Below are 15,341 nucleotides of genomic sequence, written 5' to 3' on the forward strand. Positions count from 1 at the left end.
TTAATCTGCCCAGTTCTTAGGCATGTAATTCAATGAGTTTTAACAAGTATATTTACCACATTGAGATTTAGAACATTTTCATCTCCCCAGAAAGTCCTCGTCAATCTCCATCTTTTGTGGGCAACTACTGTTCTGATTTGTATCAGAATTCCTTTTGCTTCCTTTGTAAATATTTTTAGAGAAAAGAAGTTAATAAAAAAATAAGATTACAAATGTTAACAATGATGTAAGGAGTATAGAATTGCACAGAAGGTGTTGCATAAATGATGAGAGTTGGGCACAATGACTTGTTTCATGGATGTCTTGCAGAGTTTTTCTCTTTCCCTTAAAAGTCTTTCTGTTGCTACAGTGGAGATAGCCACCTGTATTAGACAGGCTATTAGATAAAAGCTCTGGCCTTTCCTCTCTACTCTTTCCATATATACTTTTCTTTCAAGCACTATTTATATACCTTCTATATGCTATGTGCTCTAGGGCCTGTAGACAAATAAGAAACGGTTCCTGTATCCAAAAGAGAGATGGCCACCATAATCTGATCCATGGGAATATTTACAAATCTGGGCCACAAATTCTTGTTTCTTCCTTATGGATGATGGCTAAAATTCACAAATCCATTGATTTGCAAGAGGATAATTTTAGATGTATTTGAAGGAAATGAGAAAAAAAGAAGAACAAAGAGGGTAGAATTCCTATTTCACAATTTGAATGTGGTTTTTAAATAAACAAAATTAGTTTTATTACAAAATTACATCTGGCATTAACAAAACAAAAAGGTCACCCATACTCTACAATTTAAGCATGTTAACTACTGAATCAATCCAAGTAAACTAAAACAATTGTTCCTCTAATGGAAAAATCAAGTTATAAACAAAATTACTTTGGGTTGAGGACTTTTGGATAAGAGCCTGGTCTTGCTAAATTTTAATACACTCCTTCTTTTTCTCTACTTGTTTTTGACTTCTTGTCTTTTTATGGTCAAGCACCTGACCCCAAATAGGGAATTCATTTTGTACTGCAGTTAGCACATTGTGAAAAGGGATAAATATAATTCAAAAATTGATGCTATCAATCAATAGGTATTCACTGACTGTCTGAGCACTATAAGACAAAAATCTCTGTCCCTAAGAGCTTCTGCTATATTTGGGGAAATAAATTACATGTAAACATTTGAATTTTGTGAAGCAGAAATGACAAACTCCCACATAGACATTCTTTACCTTAACTATTAAAATATATTTATGCTAGGTCACTGGTTACCAAGCAACTTTTCAGAGCAAGGATCTCTCACTCTCCCATATTGTACCTGGATTTGAGAAGTTTATCCAGTGAGAAATTAGAATGAGCTCCATTAATTTCTCCCTAGAGAGTAGGGCAATAGCAGCAGGGTCTACTCTACTTGTAAACCGTATGGAATTTGAGATAGACTGCTTAAAGCTATGAATTTAAAAAAAATTTTTTTTTTTTAAGATGGAATCTTGCTCTGTTGCTAGGCTGGAGTGAAGTGGTGCAATCGCAGCTCACTGCAGCCTTCACTTCCCGGGTTCAAGCTATTCTCCTGTCTCAGCCTCCTGAGTAGCTGGGACTACAGGCACGCGCCACCATGCCCAGCTAATTTTCGTGTTTTTAGTAGAAACGGGTTTCACTATGTTGCCCAGGCTGGTCTCAAACTCCTGAGCTCAGGCAATCCAGTCCACCCACCTCAGCCTCCCAAAGTGCTAGGATTATAGGCGTGAGCCACTGCACCGGGCCCAAAGCTATGAATTCAGAAACAATTATTTATCAACACAAACAAGTAGCATAAACATCTGGAATCTTCATTTTAGCTCCCTGCCCCACATGTCTATACCAATCTCTACCTCATTGGGAAGTCAATGAGTTAATTCATGTGAGAAAGTGTTTTATAAACCTTACTATACTATCCAAGTGAAAGGTTGTATACAACTCCATGAGTCTGAACAGTTTGCTGCCTATGCCCTAGTATGATATATGTGTCTTTGCATTTGAGTATAAATTAAGTGTAAACTTAAGGCAATTTAAGTACACAAGAACAACATTCACCAGTCATATGTAATGATGAAATAAGGTGTGGCAGGAAATTTACAACTGAGCAAAATCATAGGCAGTATTGACAGGTCTTAAAGAAAGAAAGCTCACAGCTAGGAAGGCGTTAAAGCCAAAGGTTGCAAGAGACTGTTTACGTTTTATAAACTTAGCTAGGAGGTTCACTTTGCCTGAAACCATGAGGCAAATTATTTACCCATTCTGCCTTAATTTCCCCCAATAGGGTGTCATAGTTACAAAGGTGAAAACTGGCACTGTAGAAAAAAAAATTGTGAGGCAAGTGTATATAGTATAGGTATTGTGATTCTAGGTAATGTAACTTATTATTCTGTTTACCTTAAATCTACTTACTTTCTTTGCAGGTTGCACTGGAGAATCTAAACTCTTTTGGAGATGTCCCAAGGCCTAACCTGCACCTCTTCACAGCATAGGCAAGAAAATTCTGTCTGACCTTTCTGCCGGGAGGAGGGAATGTTTAGGTAAAAATGAGAAACCTATGAAATCAGCCACCAACATGGCTGTGTCACTTTGGTGCTCCCACAACAACTTGAAGCATTTTTCATATTAAACTTAATAGCTGACCTGTCTACCCCCTAGCCTGTGAGATCCTTCAGGGAAGGACTTTCCCTCATGTTTTACTCACCTCTATTGCTCTAACAACTAGGGCAGGATAGTAGGGGAGACAATCAGTAAATATTTGTGGACCTGAATATGAGTAGAGGGCACTCAAGGAACAGCAAAGGCTTAGAAGTATCATAAACTTCATGTGTCCAGGAGGGAAAGAACAAAATTTAATGCAGACATTTTTACATACTAAGTCAAATGTGTAACATTTTTCAAGCACAAAATGTTATATACATTCCTCTTCCTCTTCCCATCCCTAAGTTTCACCTTATTCCTGCTCCTTACCCTGTCTTTGAACTCTTCTATCTCAGATTCTGATTTCTCCCAGTACCTCAGCCCTCCCTTTCCCTCTCCCCAATCTTCACCCCACCCCCAAGGGTCATGGATGTATTGAGGTCAAGATGAGGTGAAGCTCATTGAGGGAGGAAAGATAATTGGGCATCCAGGCAACAGCAAAAACTGACAGCTCAATGGTTCAATGTTTACAGTAAAATGTCCCAGAATCAAAATGATCACATCAAAATATATATTCATAGAACAATGGCCTAGTTTATAATATCAGTTGCATGATACGGAAAAGCAGGAGAAAAGGTTAAAGTGTTAAGAGATGGTCAGATATGAGTCTAGAAATTTTGTCAGGCATCAGTAGGGAAACAGAGAGGCTTTTAAGCAGTAAAATTAGAACATCACTATGAAAGCAGGATTTAAGTGTCATACAGCCATATTCAGCCTAGCTTAGAAAAGAAAAGCCCATATTCTGGGGCTCCAGTTAAAAGATTACTGCAGCTCTTCAGAGTAAGGTAATGTGAGGCCTAAAGGAGAAGAGCCCCAGAAGTATGAAAGGGGGTGATGACCAACTGGGCTTGGCAGATAGCAAAAGGCTCAAAAAGTTGACCCTAAGTTTTTGATCATAAATGCCTGGAAGAATATCTTACCTATTGACAAGGAGCCATTTTGAAGAGAAAAATGTTGTTTGAGAATATTAATTTTGAAATGATAAGAGATATCCAAGTGGAAATACACAGAAGGGCAGGAGGGCATCAAAATTTCGAAGGGTGTGCCACCAGACCTTGATTAATATGTAAAATTTACTTAGCTCTAACAGAGGCTCATATGATTATGTCTGTTAGAGGAAGTGTCAAAACAAGAGTGCCTACCATGTGATAGACAGCAGGTAGCCAGTGAATGAAGGAAAGATGAGGTAAGAGGTATAATCTTTGTGTAAAAATTGGGGGCTTAACTGGGATGCAAGAGATCTTTTCCTCATAAGTATGTAAGTGTAATAAGATGTCGGCCGGGCGCGGTGGCTCACGCCTGTAATCCCAGCACTTTGGGAGGCCGAGGCGGGTGGATCATGAGGTCAGGAGATCGAGACCATCCTGGCTAACAAGGTGAAACCCCGTCTCTACTAAAAATACAAAAAATTAGCCGGGCGCGGTGGCGGGCGCCTGTAGTCCCAGCTACTGGGGAGGCTGAGGCAGGAGAATGGCGTGAACCCGGGAAGCGGAGCTTGCAGTGAGCCGAGATTGCGCCACTGCAGTCCGCAGTCCGGCCTGGGCGACAGAGCGAGACTCCGTCTCAAAAAAAAAAAAAAAAAAAAAAGGTGTCAAGCAATGTCTAATGTCTATCTTGTAATTGTGATTAAAGACAATGGCTGAGAAGAACCTCATATTCTAAGAGAGAAGCTGGACATATCTCAGGACTTGCCAAAAGGCAGCAAAGAAATGAGACTACAGAACGTACCATTGGAGCAGGAGCTGAGAGGGAAATAATGAGAGAGAGTAGGTTAACAGCGCATCTATGGGGCTAGGAAAGGTCCCAGCAGAACTCTTAAGGACCCACAAAAGCACTCCCATAGAGCACAAAATATCTGCAGAGCACACCAGAACTGGATAACAATAGCACTCTTCATGGATGAACCCTTTTTCCCCTTTGCCTTTTCATCTTTTCCCTGTCCCAACCTGGTGTTACCAAGAGTAACATATTGGGGGAGAGGAGAATAGTATGTTGGAGCAGTGAAGAAGTGGGCTTTATCAATTTCTTAACTGCTAATCTATAGAATTCTTGGGTCATGGCATACTAAGACAGAGAGGAACCTAACATTGTATGAGAGATTGGATGTCGTTTTAGATTTATTTTTAATATTTGAAAGATTCTATTCTGTTATTAGTCAGATATGGCTAGAAAAGCTATTGAATTGGTCTGAGAGTACAGAGAATAGAGATCTGGCAGTATGGCTTGAGGGCAGCAGTGGATGAAAAAAAACCCTGACTTTATTGTATCCTACTTAGTTCAGCTCATTCAACAACAGAAGCAAGAAAGGTCAGGGCAGTGAATATTTCTACTCACATAGTGACATAAAGCTTAAGGGAAATCGGTGAGTGGTGTAATAATTGGGTACATTTCTTTTTTTCAATTTACAAAACTTATTTTTAAATCAGTATTGAACTTTTAATCCCTTCGTGTATGTTTTGAGTTATGTCAAAGTATGTTGCCAACAAAAATGTTTAGAGAATCACTATGGAAGGGAGTAGGAGACATGGAACTAGAAATGGGTGGGATACTGAGGCTGAGCAGTTTTTTAAAATCATCAATACAGAGGTGAGTGAGAGGACCTTTCCCTTAACAAAGAAATAATGAGAGAGCAGGTGAAGAGTGCATCTCTGGGACTAGGAAAGGTCCCTACAGGAGAACTCTGAAGGACCCACAAAAGCACTCCCACAGAGCACAAAGTGTCCACATGTTCCTGGGTCACCCCCAAAGTACTTGCCTGCTACTACACAAAGACAAGGCTCAATGGCACCTTCTCCCTTTATCCCAACTTGTATTAACTGTTTTCAGCTACCACCTTTAGGTAGAAGTTAATCATATAACCGTATCCCTATGTCACTGTTCTGAAGGTGGCTCTTTTGAAAGACTTTGCAAAAATTAATACATTTCAATAAATATTGAGGTTTTTCTAGGCCCAATCAATCCAAGAGCCTGGGGGAAAAATTTTATTTAAAGTATGTCAATTTGGAAATTTTTGTAGGTTAATAGTAGTTCTGCAAAGGCCAGGTCTTCTTGGTCTTTGGAGAAGATTCACCATTACATTAAATTCCCTACACCTCTGTTTCTTCATTGAAAGAAAAGATATATTAATACAATTGGCCGTGCGTATCCATGAATTCCATATCCATGTATTTAACCAACCACATATTGAAAATATTTGGGAAATAAACAATAAAATATACAAATTAAAAACAATACAGTATAACAAGTATTTCCGTAGCATTTACATTGTACTAGGCATTATAAGTAATCTAGAGATTTAAAGCATAGAGGAAGATTTGCATAAGTTATATGCAGTATTACATTATTTAATATAAGGGACTTTAGCATTGTTGGATTTTGGTATTTGCCAGGGGAGGGGGTGGTGGTACTAGAACCAGTCCCCCAGGCATACCAAGGGACAACTGTACTTAGCAAGTTTGTGGAAGGATTGAATAAAATAATATATATCATTGCTACAGGGTTTCAGATGATTTGGAGTCCCCATACCTTTCCAACTTTATCTTATACTATCTTTTTCCTTTGCTCATTATCCTCCTGGAACTTTAGCTGTCTTGCTCTTGCTCAAACACACAAAGCTATTTTCCACCTCAGGGCTGTTGCACGTGTTGTCTCTCTACATGTAATTTTTTGTTCCTAACCACTAGGCTACTAGGGAACATATAATTTTATGACTTCAGCTCTTTGCTCCCTCTTGTCTCTCAGTTCAAATGTTACCCTCTCAAAGAGGTCTTCCCTGGCCTTCTACCTAAAGTTGCCTTTGCTGGATATTTGGTATCTCATAACCTTGCTTATATCTTTCCTAGCATTGTTTTACAATGTAATTATTTTGTCCATTTATGTATTTGCTTCACTATTTTCGGTCTCCTCCCACTGGATTTCAAGATCTTTGAGTTAAAAACTTTGTTGATCTTGTTTACCTACTGCTCAAAGTAGCTAGCACAGTGCCTGGCATGCAGTAGACACTCAATATTTGTCAAATGAGTGACATGAGCCTTCTCTGTATACAAGTATATGGGAAGGTTAGATCGAACATTTCAAAATAGTCAACAAGTTAAGAAATATGGGAGAAAAATTGTTCAAGCATATTTATATGGAGGCACAAAGTGGAGGCAAATGAAAACTCTCTGCAGGAAAGTTTCCAAAGGCCAGGGTTTGTTTAGAAAGAAAGCCAAGCCAGGTGCTCTAACTGGGGCAGACAATAGCCTGGCATTCTCTGACCCCAAAGGTGACTCCTATCAAGGCAGTGGCATGAATTCTCATTTGGCAAAACATTTTCAGACCAGATGAACCATGCCAAACCAGAGGCCTGGAAACAAAAACACCATTTGAATTATGTCTTTTCATAGGACAAGCTGAAATTATTTCACAGGTTAATACCATCATTTCTTGGTATTTGGAGCTAAAACATCTTCAAGCCACAATTTTTCATTTTCAAATTAATCGGAGACCCATATGGCATCCTGGCTGAACCAGGATGTGCTCCTGGGAAGAAGAGGCATTACCTGGCTTGGCCCTGGCTGACACAGGCCCAGGTGTGCTGGCCTCAGGACTCATTTCTCGAGGAGACTGGGCACAGTTAGCTGCACACTTGGGCCTGACTCCGTAGGCATATCCAGAACCTCACAGTTGCTATTAACATCCTGGCTCAGTACACACAGAACAGTTCTTTGAATTTTATTTCCTGCTCTTCGTAGGCAGAACATTTGCTTTTTACTTTGGAAGGGGTGTGTCACTTGTAAGGCTGATAGAGTAGACTGGAAGGACAGTATACTTTTGGTTTACATACAGTTCTTTGGCTTTACCACATATGAATTCCAGGATCTTGGCAAAATCACTTAACCTTGCTGAGTATCAGTTTTCTCCTTAATAAATGGAGAAGATATTACCAAATAGAATATTTCTGAAGATCCAATGAGATAGTACATGTGAATGTGCTTGATACATAAATATTTCCTTTTCTCCCTTTCTTCTTTCTTTTCCACCTAGTTTTCACATAAAAGAAAGTTCCTTTCTGATTACCAGAAGACAGCATTGGGTAGTGGTCAGAAACTTTGGCCCTCAAGCCAAGTAGACTTTGGTTTATATCCCGAAGTTTTCTCTCCTAGCTTACAGACTTGAACAAGCCATTTAAACTCTTTGTACCTTCATTGTTTTCTCTGTCAAATAACCACAGTGATAATCCTACTTTATAAGCGTATTCTAAGAATCACATGATTTGAGGTGCCTGACTCATGGTAAGTGCTCAATAAATATCAACCATCTCAGTCCCCAACCTATACCTTCACTGACTACCCAAAGACATGGAGGGAGACTTTAATGAAAGCAAACTACAAATTAGGAGTAAGTGGCTTTGATTTTCTGATCTAGTGCACAGAAATCTTCATTTCTTTCGGGATTGCCTTGGGTTTAGTATATCTTCTCTCCAAGGCTCTGATCATTTTTTTGTAGTGATTCAAAAGAAATGAAAGAGCAACGAGAGAAGAACAATGTAATATGTCAAGTGTTATTGGCAGAATTTGGGCCCCCATGACCTTTTCTCTATCTAGTGTTACACTCATGCAAATGTTAACATTATGTGGGAAAAGAGACTTCACAGATTTAAATAAGGTTTAAATCTGTGGTTATTAAGATAGAGAGATTGAATGATTCCTTTCAAGCAGAGGGGGAAATCTGTGACATTGAAAGCATGAGAAGTATTCTGTCTACTGTTCTTAGCTTGAAGATGAAGGAGACCATGTTTCACAGACATAGAGACCTCAATTCTACAACCACAAGGAACTAAATTCTGTCAACAGCCAATGAGCCTCTAAGAGGATTCTGGCCCTGGAGAGACTGAGAACCACAGCCCTGGCTGACACCTTGATTTTACCCCTGTGGTACCCTAAGTAGAGAATCCAGCCATGCTATGCTGGACTTCTGTCCTACTGAAACTGCAAAGTAATAAAGGGTCTTGTTTTTAAGCCATTAAGTTTGTGATAATCTGCTATTGAATCAATAGAAAACCAAATACACCACGTTTGTAACTTTCCCTGAAGCACAAAATGTAACGATGAAAAATTAAACAGAACAGAGAAGAAGTGTCCCATGATGAATTTAGTACTTTGGATCTGAGGTAGACAGTGGAACACTTCTACCCAGAATCCCAGAGATCAGGATTTTGAAACCTTCCTATTGCTCTTTGCTACCGCCTCCCCTGAACTCCCTTAATACCATTATGTAGTTTCATTGTAGTACTTTTCAGTCTCTTATAATTATTTATGTGATCATCTTCACAATGTATGAATGTCTTAAGGGGAGAGACTATGTGATTTACTTTTGTCTCTCCAAAACCTAGCATGGAATCTCACACAGTAAAGACACTAAAGATGTGTTTGTTAAATGAAACAATGAATGAATATGTGAAAGGATAAATAAACTGTAGAAACCAACACCCCAAAAGCTAAAGTATTTGTTGTATTTGTTAGGGTCACAGAGAAAATTTTAGTTTTAAATTTACCTGCATAAATATTCTTTGTTGTTGTTGTTTTTCTCAACTTCTATTTTAGATTCAGAGGGTACATGTGTAGGTTTGTGACAGGTATATTGCAGGATGCTGAGGTTTGGGGTATGAAATGATCCTGTCACCCAGGTAGTGAGCATAGTACCCAATAGGTAGTCTTTCAGCACTTGCCCTCTTCACCCTCTCCCTACTCTAGTAGTCCCCAGTGTCTCTTGTTCCCATCTTTATGTCCATGTGTACCCAATGTTTACCCCTCACTTAGAAGTGAGAACATGTGGTGTTTGGTTTTTTGTTTCTGCATTAATTAGCTTAGGATAAGGTTCTCCAGCCATACCCATGTTGCTGCAAATGGCATAATGTCATTATTTTTATGGCTACATAGTATTTCATGATGTGTATGTACCATGTTTTCTTTATCCGATATACCGTTGATGGGCACCTAGGTTGATGCCATGTCTAGACAGTGCTGCAGTGAACATATGAGTGCATGTATTTTTTTGGTAGAACATTTTATTTTCCTTTGGGTATATACCTAGTAATGGGATTGCTGAGTTGAATAGTAGTTGTAATTTTAATTTTTTGAGAAATCTCCAAACTGCTTTTCACAGTGACTGAACTTATTTTCATTCCCACCAACAGTATATAATTGTTCCCTTTTCTCCGCAGCCTTGCCAACATCTGTTATTTTTTGACTTTTTAGTGATAGCCATTCTGACTGGTGTGAGATGGTATCTTATGGCGGTTTATATTTGCATTTATCTGAGGATTAGTGACAATGAGCTGTTTTTCATACACTTGTGCGTCTTTCTACAAGAAATTCTTATATGCTGTATTCTGTTTTGCAACTCACCAGAAACATGCCGAAGTATGTTTTCTGTAAAATAATAACTCTGGTAAGGTTACCAGATCATTTACACTGTGATATGAAATAACTTTAATTATATGAGTTGTTTATATAGATATTAACTTCTAAACTGCATTAATATCATTTCACTTGAGTGATTTTTGAGAGGTTCGAAACTGTTGCTCTGATGCCTGTGTCCATTTACCTGCTGGGTACAGAACAAATTTGATTCTGGATATGTTGTTAAAGGACTTACAAAAGAAGCCCAACCCCTCAGGAGAGAGAATGCAGGATTCTTGAAATCATAGAGCTGGAAGGGGCCTTAAGAGAGTGTTTTGCCTTTAAGAGAGTAACTAAACCACATGATCAGGCTTCTTTAAAATCTCTGGGGATACAGACACTATAACATTCCTTCCTAGCTGATCTCCAGTGGTCAATTCATTCTTTCACTTGCCATTTGCCTTCTCTTAAAAGTGCTTTCCCAATAGACAAGTGTAAGATGGGCCTACCAGCCAAATTTGTACTGCATAATTCCACCACCTCACCTCTCATCCCACTCCACTCCCCGGCCATGGCCAATTGGAACAGGTTTAAAAACAGGGCCCAAGATGTGCCAAGCAGATTCTTCTTCCGAATCCTTCTTATAAGAATTGATACTTGGAACTGAGAGGCAGCTCCTTAGTTTGTCTTATAACCATACAATGTAAACCAAGGATCTATGAGATAGTCACTTCCCTTTGGAAGACAAGTAGTGGAGAAAGCTAGTCTGCAGAGAAACAGAATTAGTCAGAGCTACAGAAAGAAACTCAGGCTTGATTTTGAGAAGGAACACTGCCTGGGTTCCAGAGGCTCTCTAGAATCTAGGAAGCCTGACTTCATGGTGCTTTCACGATGTGTAAAGTGTCTCTCTCTCTTTTTTTTTATTATACTTCAAGTTTTAGGGTACATGTGGACAATGTACCGGTTAGTTACATATGTATACATGTGCCATGCTGGTGTGCTGCACCCATTAACTCGTCATTTAGCATTAGGTATATCTCCCAGTGCTATTCCTCCCCCCTCCCCCCACCCCACAACAGTCCCCAGAGTGTGATGTTCCCCTTCCTGTGTCCATGTGTTCTCATTGTTCAATTCCCATCTATGAGTGAGAACATGCGGTGTTTGGTTTTTTGTCCTTGCGATAGTTTACTGAGAATGATGATTTCCAATTTCATCCATGTCCCTACAAAGGACATGAACTCATCATTTTTTTATGACTGCATAGTATTCCATGGTGTATATGTGCCACATTTTCTTAATCCAATCTATCATTGTTGGACATTTGGGTTGGTTCCAAGTCTTTGCTGTTGTGAATAGTGCCGCAATAAACATACGTGTGCATGTGTCTTTATAGCAGCATGATTTATAGTCCTTTGGGTATATACCCAGTAATGGGATGGCTGGGTCAAATGGTATTTCTAGTTCTAGATCCCTGAGGAATCGCCACACTGACTTCCACAATGGTTGAACTAGTTTACAGTCCCACCAACAGTGTAAAAGTGTTCCTATTTCTCCACATCCTCTCCAGCACCTGTTGTTTCCTGACTTTTTAATGATTGCCATTCTAACTGGTGTGAGATGGTATCTCATTGTGGTTTTGATTTGCATTTCTCTGATGGCCTTAGAAAATATCGCCAAACTGTCATTTCAGTTATTTGAGAACACCCTACCTAATTTTCTGATACATCACAGAAATTTTATTTAAAACAAAGTGAACTTTGATTTCTCAAAAATAAAAAAGAAAGAAAATATCTCCCTCTGCTTTTTACTCTTACTCTAGCTAGATTTGGTTTTTGTTATCTCTAAATGAGGAGTTCTAATAAATATACTACCTGAAATTTCTCCTTTTAATCACATAATTCTTTTCTGGGTAGGGGGAGGGGTATAAAAGCCCTATAGTACTGCCATTTATTTAATAAATATTTATTTAATACTTAATATCGGTAAAAACTACCAAACCATTCATGGATCCCAAGAGTTTGGGGTCCCGGAGCCTAGACATTTCCCCTGAACACAGGACTCCTCTAATGAGTAGTTTTTGCTCTAAAGCTCCTCATTGGGTTAGACAAGCCTTTGTAAGACGGACGTTAGTATCAGAGGCTCTCCCTGTGCAATTCTGCTTCTTATTTATGTTTCTTATGTTTTACAGGCATTTTCCCCCAATAAACTACTTATTCTCCCAACTTCATCTCAGTGTCAGCTTCCTAGAAGACCCAAACAACGTGGATGGCCTTCAAAGAAAAATGGAGGTAGCATTTTCATTTATTTACTAAAATACATATTGACCCTCAGTAATGGTAGGGCACTATCCTAAACACCAGTTGTATCAGCAAACAAAATATAGTTTCTTTCCTTATGAAGCTTACAGACAAGTAGAAATAGCATTAGACAAATAATTACACAATTGCAATTAAACAAACAGTCCTGATTGTGATATTAAGAAAAACACAAGGAAAAAGTAGAAGGAAAGGTATATCAGGAAGATCACATATCATATTGCATTGGGTATCAGTGAAACATTAAAACCTACTGCTTTCTTTTTTTTAATTTCAACTTTTACTATAGATTAAAGGGTACAACATAAAGATTTGTTACATGGGTAAATTGTGTGACACTGAGGCTTTGGGTCCTAATGATCCCATCACCCAGGCCATAAGCATAGTACCCAACAGGTGGTTCTTCAGCTCATGCCCCAATCCCTTTCTCCCCAATCTAGTGGACCCCAGTGTCTATTGTTCCCATCTTTATCATCATGTATATTCAATGTTTAGCTCCCACTTATAAGTGACAACATGGGTTATTTGGCTCTGTGTTTTTGCATTAGGTCACTTAGAATAATGAATGGTCTTCAGCTTTATCCATATTGCACAATGGTCTCTAGCTTTATCCATATTGCACAAGGGGCATGATTTTGTTCTTTTTTATGGCTGCATAGTATTCCATGGTGTATACATACCACATTTTCTTTATCTAATCCACTGTTGATGGACACTTAGGTTGATTCCATGTCCTTGCTATTATGAATAGTGCTGCAACAAACATGTGGGTGCATGTGTCTTCATGATAGAATGAATTATTTTCCTTGAAGCATATATGCCCACAAATGAACAGAGGTTCTATTTTAAGTTCTTTGAGAGATTTTCAAACTGTTTTCCACAGTGGCTGAACTAGTTTCTATTCTCACCAATGTAGTATAAACTTTCCCTTTTCTTTGCAGCTTTACCAACATCTATTGTTGTTTGACTTTTTAATAATTGCCATTCTGACTGATGTGAGATAGTATATAATCGTGATTTTATTTCCAGCTCTCTGATGAGTAGTGATGTTGTGCATTTTTTTATGTGTTGTTGGCCACTTGTATGTCTTTATATGTCTTCTTCTTTTTTTTATTTTTTATTTTTTTTGAGACAGAGCCTCACCCTATCACACAGGCTGGAGTACAGTGGTGCGATCTTAGCTCACTGCAACCTCTGCCTCCTGGATTCAAGCGATTATCCGGCCTCAGCCTCCCGAGTAGCTGGGATTACAGGCTTGTGCCACCAGGCCCAGCTAATTTTTTGTATCTTTAGTAGAGACAGCATTTCACCATGTTTGCCAGGCTGGTCTTGAACTCCCGATCCGTGATCCACCCGCCTTGGCCTCCCAAAGTGCTGGGATTACAGACATGAGCCACTGCACCCAGCCTTCACTTGTATGTCTTCTTTTGAGAAGTGTCTGTTCATGTCCTTTGCCCCATTTTTAATTTGATTGTTTGTTTTTACCTTGTTGCTTTAAGTACTTCGTAGATTGTGGATATTAGATCTTTGCCAGATGCATAGTTTGCAAATATTTTCTTCCATTCTCTAGGTTGTCTGTTTTCTCTGTTGGTAATTTATATTGCTGTGCAGAAGCTCTTTAGTTTAATTAGGTTCCATTTGTCAACTTTTGTTTTTGTTGCAATTGCTTTTGGGTCTTAGACATATCTTTGCCAAAGCCAATGTCAAGAAGTATATTTCCTAGGTTTTCTTCTGTGATTTTTATAGTTTGAGGTTTTAGATTTAAAGCTTTAATCCATTTTGAGTTAATTTTCATACAGTGAGAGGTAGGAGTCCAGTTTTATTCTTCTGCATATGTCTAGCCAGTTATCCCAGCACCATTTATTGAATGGTAAGTCCTTTCTCTATTGCTTGTTTTTGTTGATTTTGTCCCAGGTCCAATGGCTGTAGGTCTGTGAGTTTACTTCTGGGTTCTCTATTCTGTTTCGCTGGTCTGCGTGCCTGTTTTTGTATTAATACCATGCTGTTTTGATTACTGTAGGCTTCTAATATAGCTTGCAGTCAGGCAATGTGATACCTCCAGCTTTGTTCTTTTTGCTTACGATTGCTTTGGCTATTTGGGCTCTATTTTGGTTATAAATAAACTTTACAATATATTTTTCTAATTCTGTGAAAAATGACATTGGTATTTTGATAGGAATAGTGTTGAATCTGTAAATTACTTTGGACAGTGTGGCCATTTTAATTATATTGATTCTTCCAATCCATGAGCATGAAATATTTTTCTATTTATTTCTGTCACTTCTGATTTCTTTCAGCAGTGTTTTGTAGTTCTCCTTGTAGAGGTCTTTTACTTCCTTGGTTAAATGGATTCCTAGATATTTCATTTTCCTCATAGCTATTGTAAATGGGGTTGTTTTCTTGATTTGGCCCTCAGATAGAACATTATTGGTGTATAAAAATGCTACTGATTTTGGTACATTGACTTTGTATCCTGAACTTTTACTCAATTCATTTATCAGATCTAGGAGCCTTTTAGCAGAGTCTTTAGGATTTTCTAGGTATAGAATCATATCATCAGCAAAGAGGGGTATTTTGGCTTATTCTATTTCTACTTGGATGCCTTTTATTTCTCTTGCCTGATTCCCCTGACTAGGACTTCCAGTACTATGTTGAATAGGAGTGTTATGTAAGAGTAGGCATCTTTGTCTTGTTCCAGTTCTCAAGGCAAATGGTTCCAGATTTTGCCCAGTCAGTATGATGTTGGACTTTGTCATAGATGGCTCTTATTATTTTGAGGTATATTCCTTCAGTGCCTAATCTGTTGAGAGTTTTGATCATGAAGGAAAGCTGGATTTTAAAGAAGACTTTTTCTGTGTCTATTTATATGATCTTACGGTTTTTGTTTTTGATGAGCTTTTGTGGTGAATCACATTTATTGATTTGTGTTTATTGAACCAACTTT

The 15,341-nt window shown here is 38.5% G+C and overlaps 1 protein-coding gene across 2 annotated transcripts in view; it reads left to right on the top strand.

Moving 5' to 3' along the window:
• METTL15 (methyltransferase 15, mitochondrial 12S rRNA N4-cytidine) overlaps positions 1 to 15,341 on the top strand; it is a 424,088-nt gene that overhangs the window by 241,279 nt on the left and 167,468 nt on the right. For both annotated transcript variants that reach the window (XR_007062458.1, XR_930849.3), the window contains exons 7-8: positions 2,424 to 2,492; positions 12,271 to 12,370. The gene's annotated coding sequence lies outside the window, so the exon portion shown is untranslated. The remainder of the gene's footprint in view (positions 1 to 2,423; positions 2,493 to 12,270; positions 12,371 to 15,341) is intronic.

The sequence above is a fragment of the Homo sapiens genome, chromosome 11 (assembly GCF_000001405.40).
Source record: "Homo sapiens chromosome 11, GRCh38.p14 Primary Assembly".
In the NCBI taxonomy this organism is placed as follows: Eukaryota; Metazoa; Chordata; class Mammalia; order Primates; family Hominidae; genus Homo; species Homo sapiens.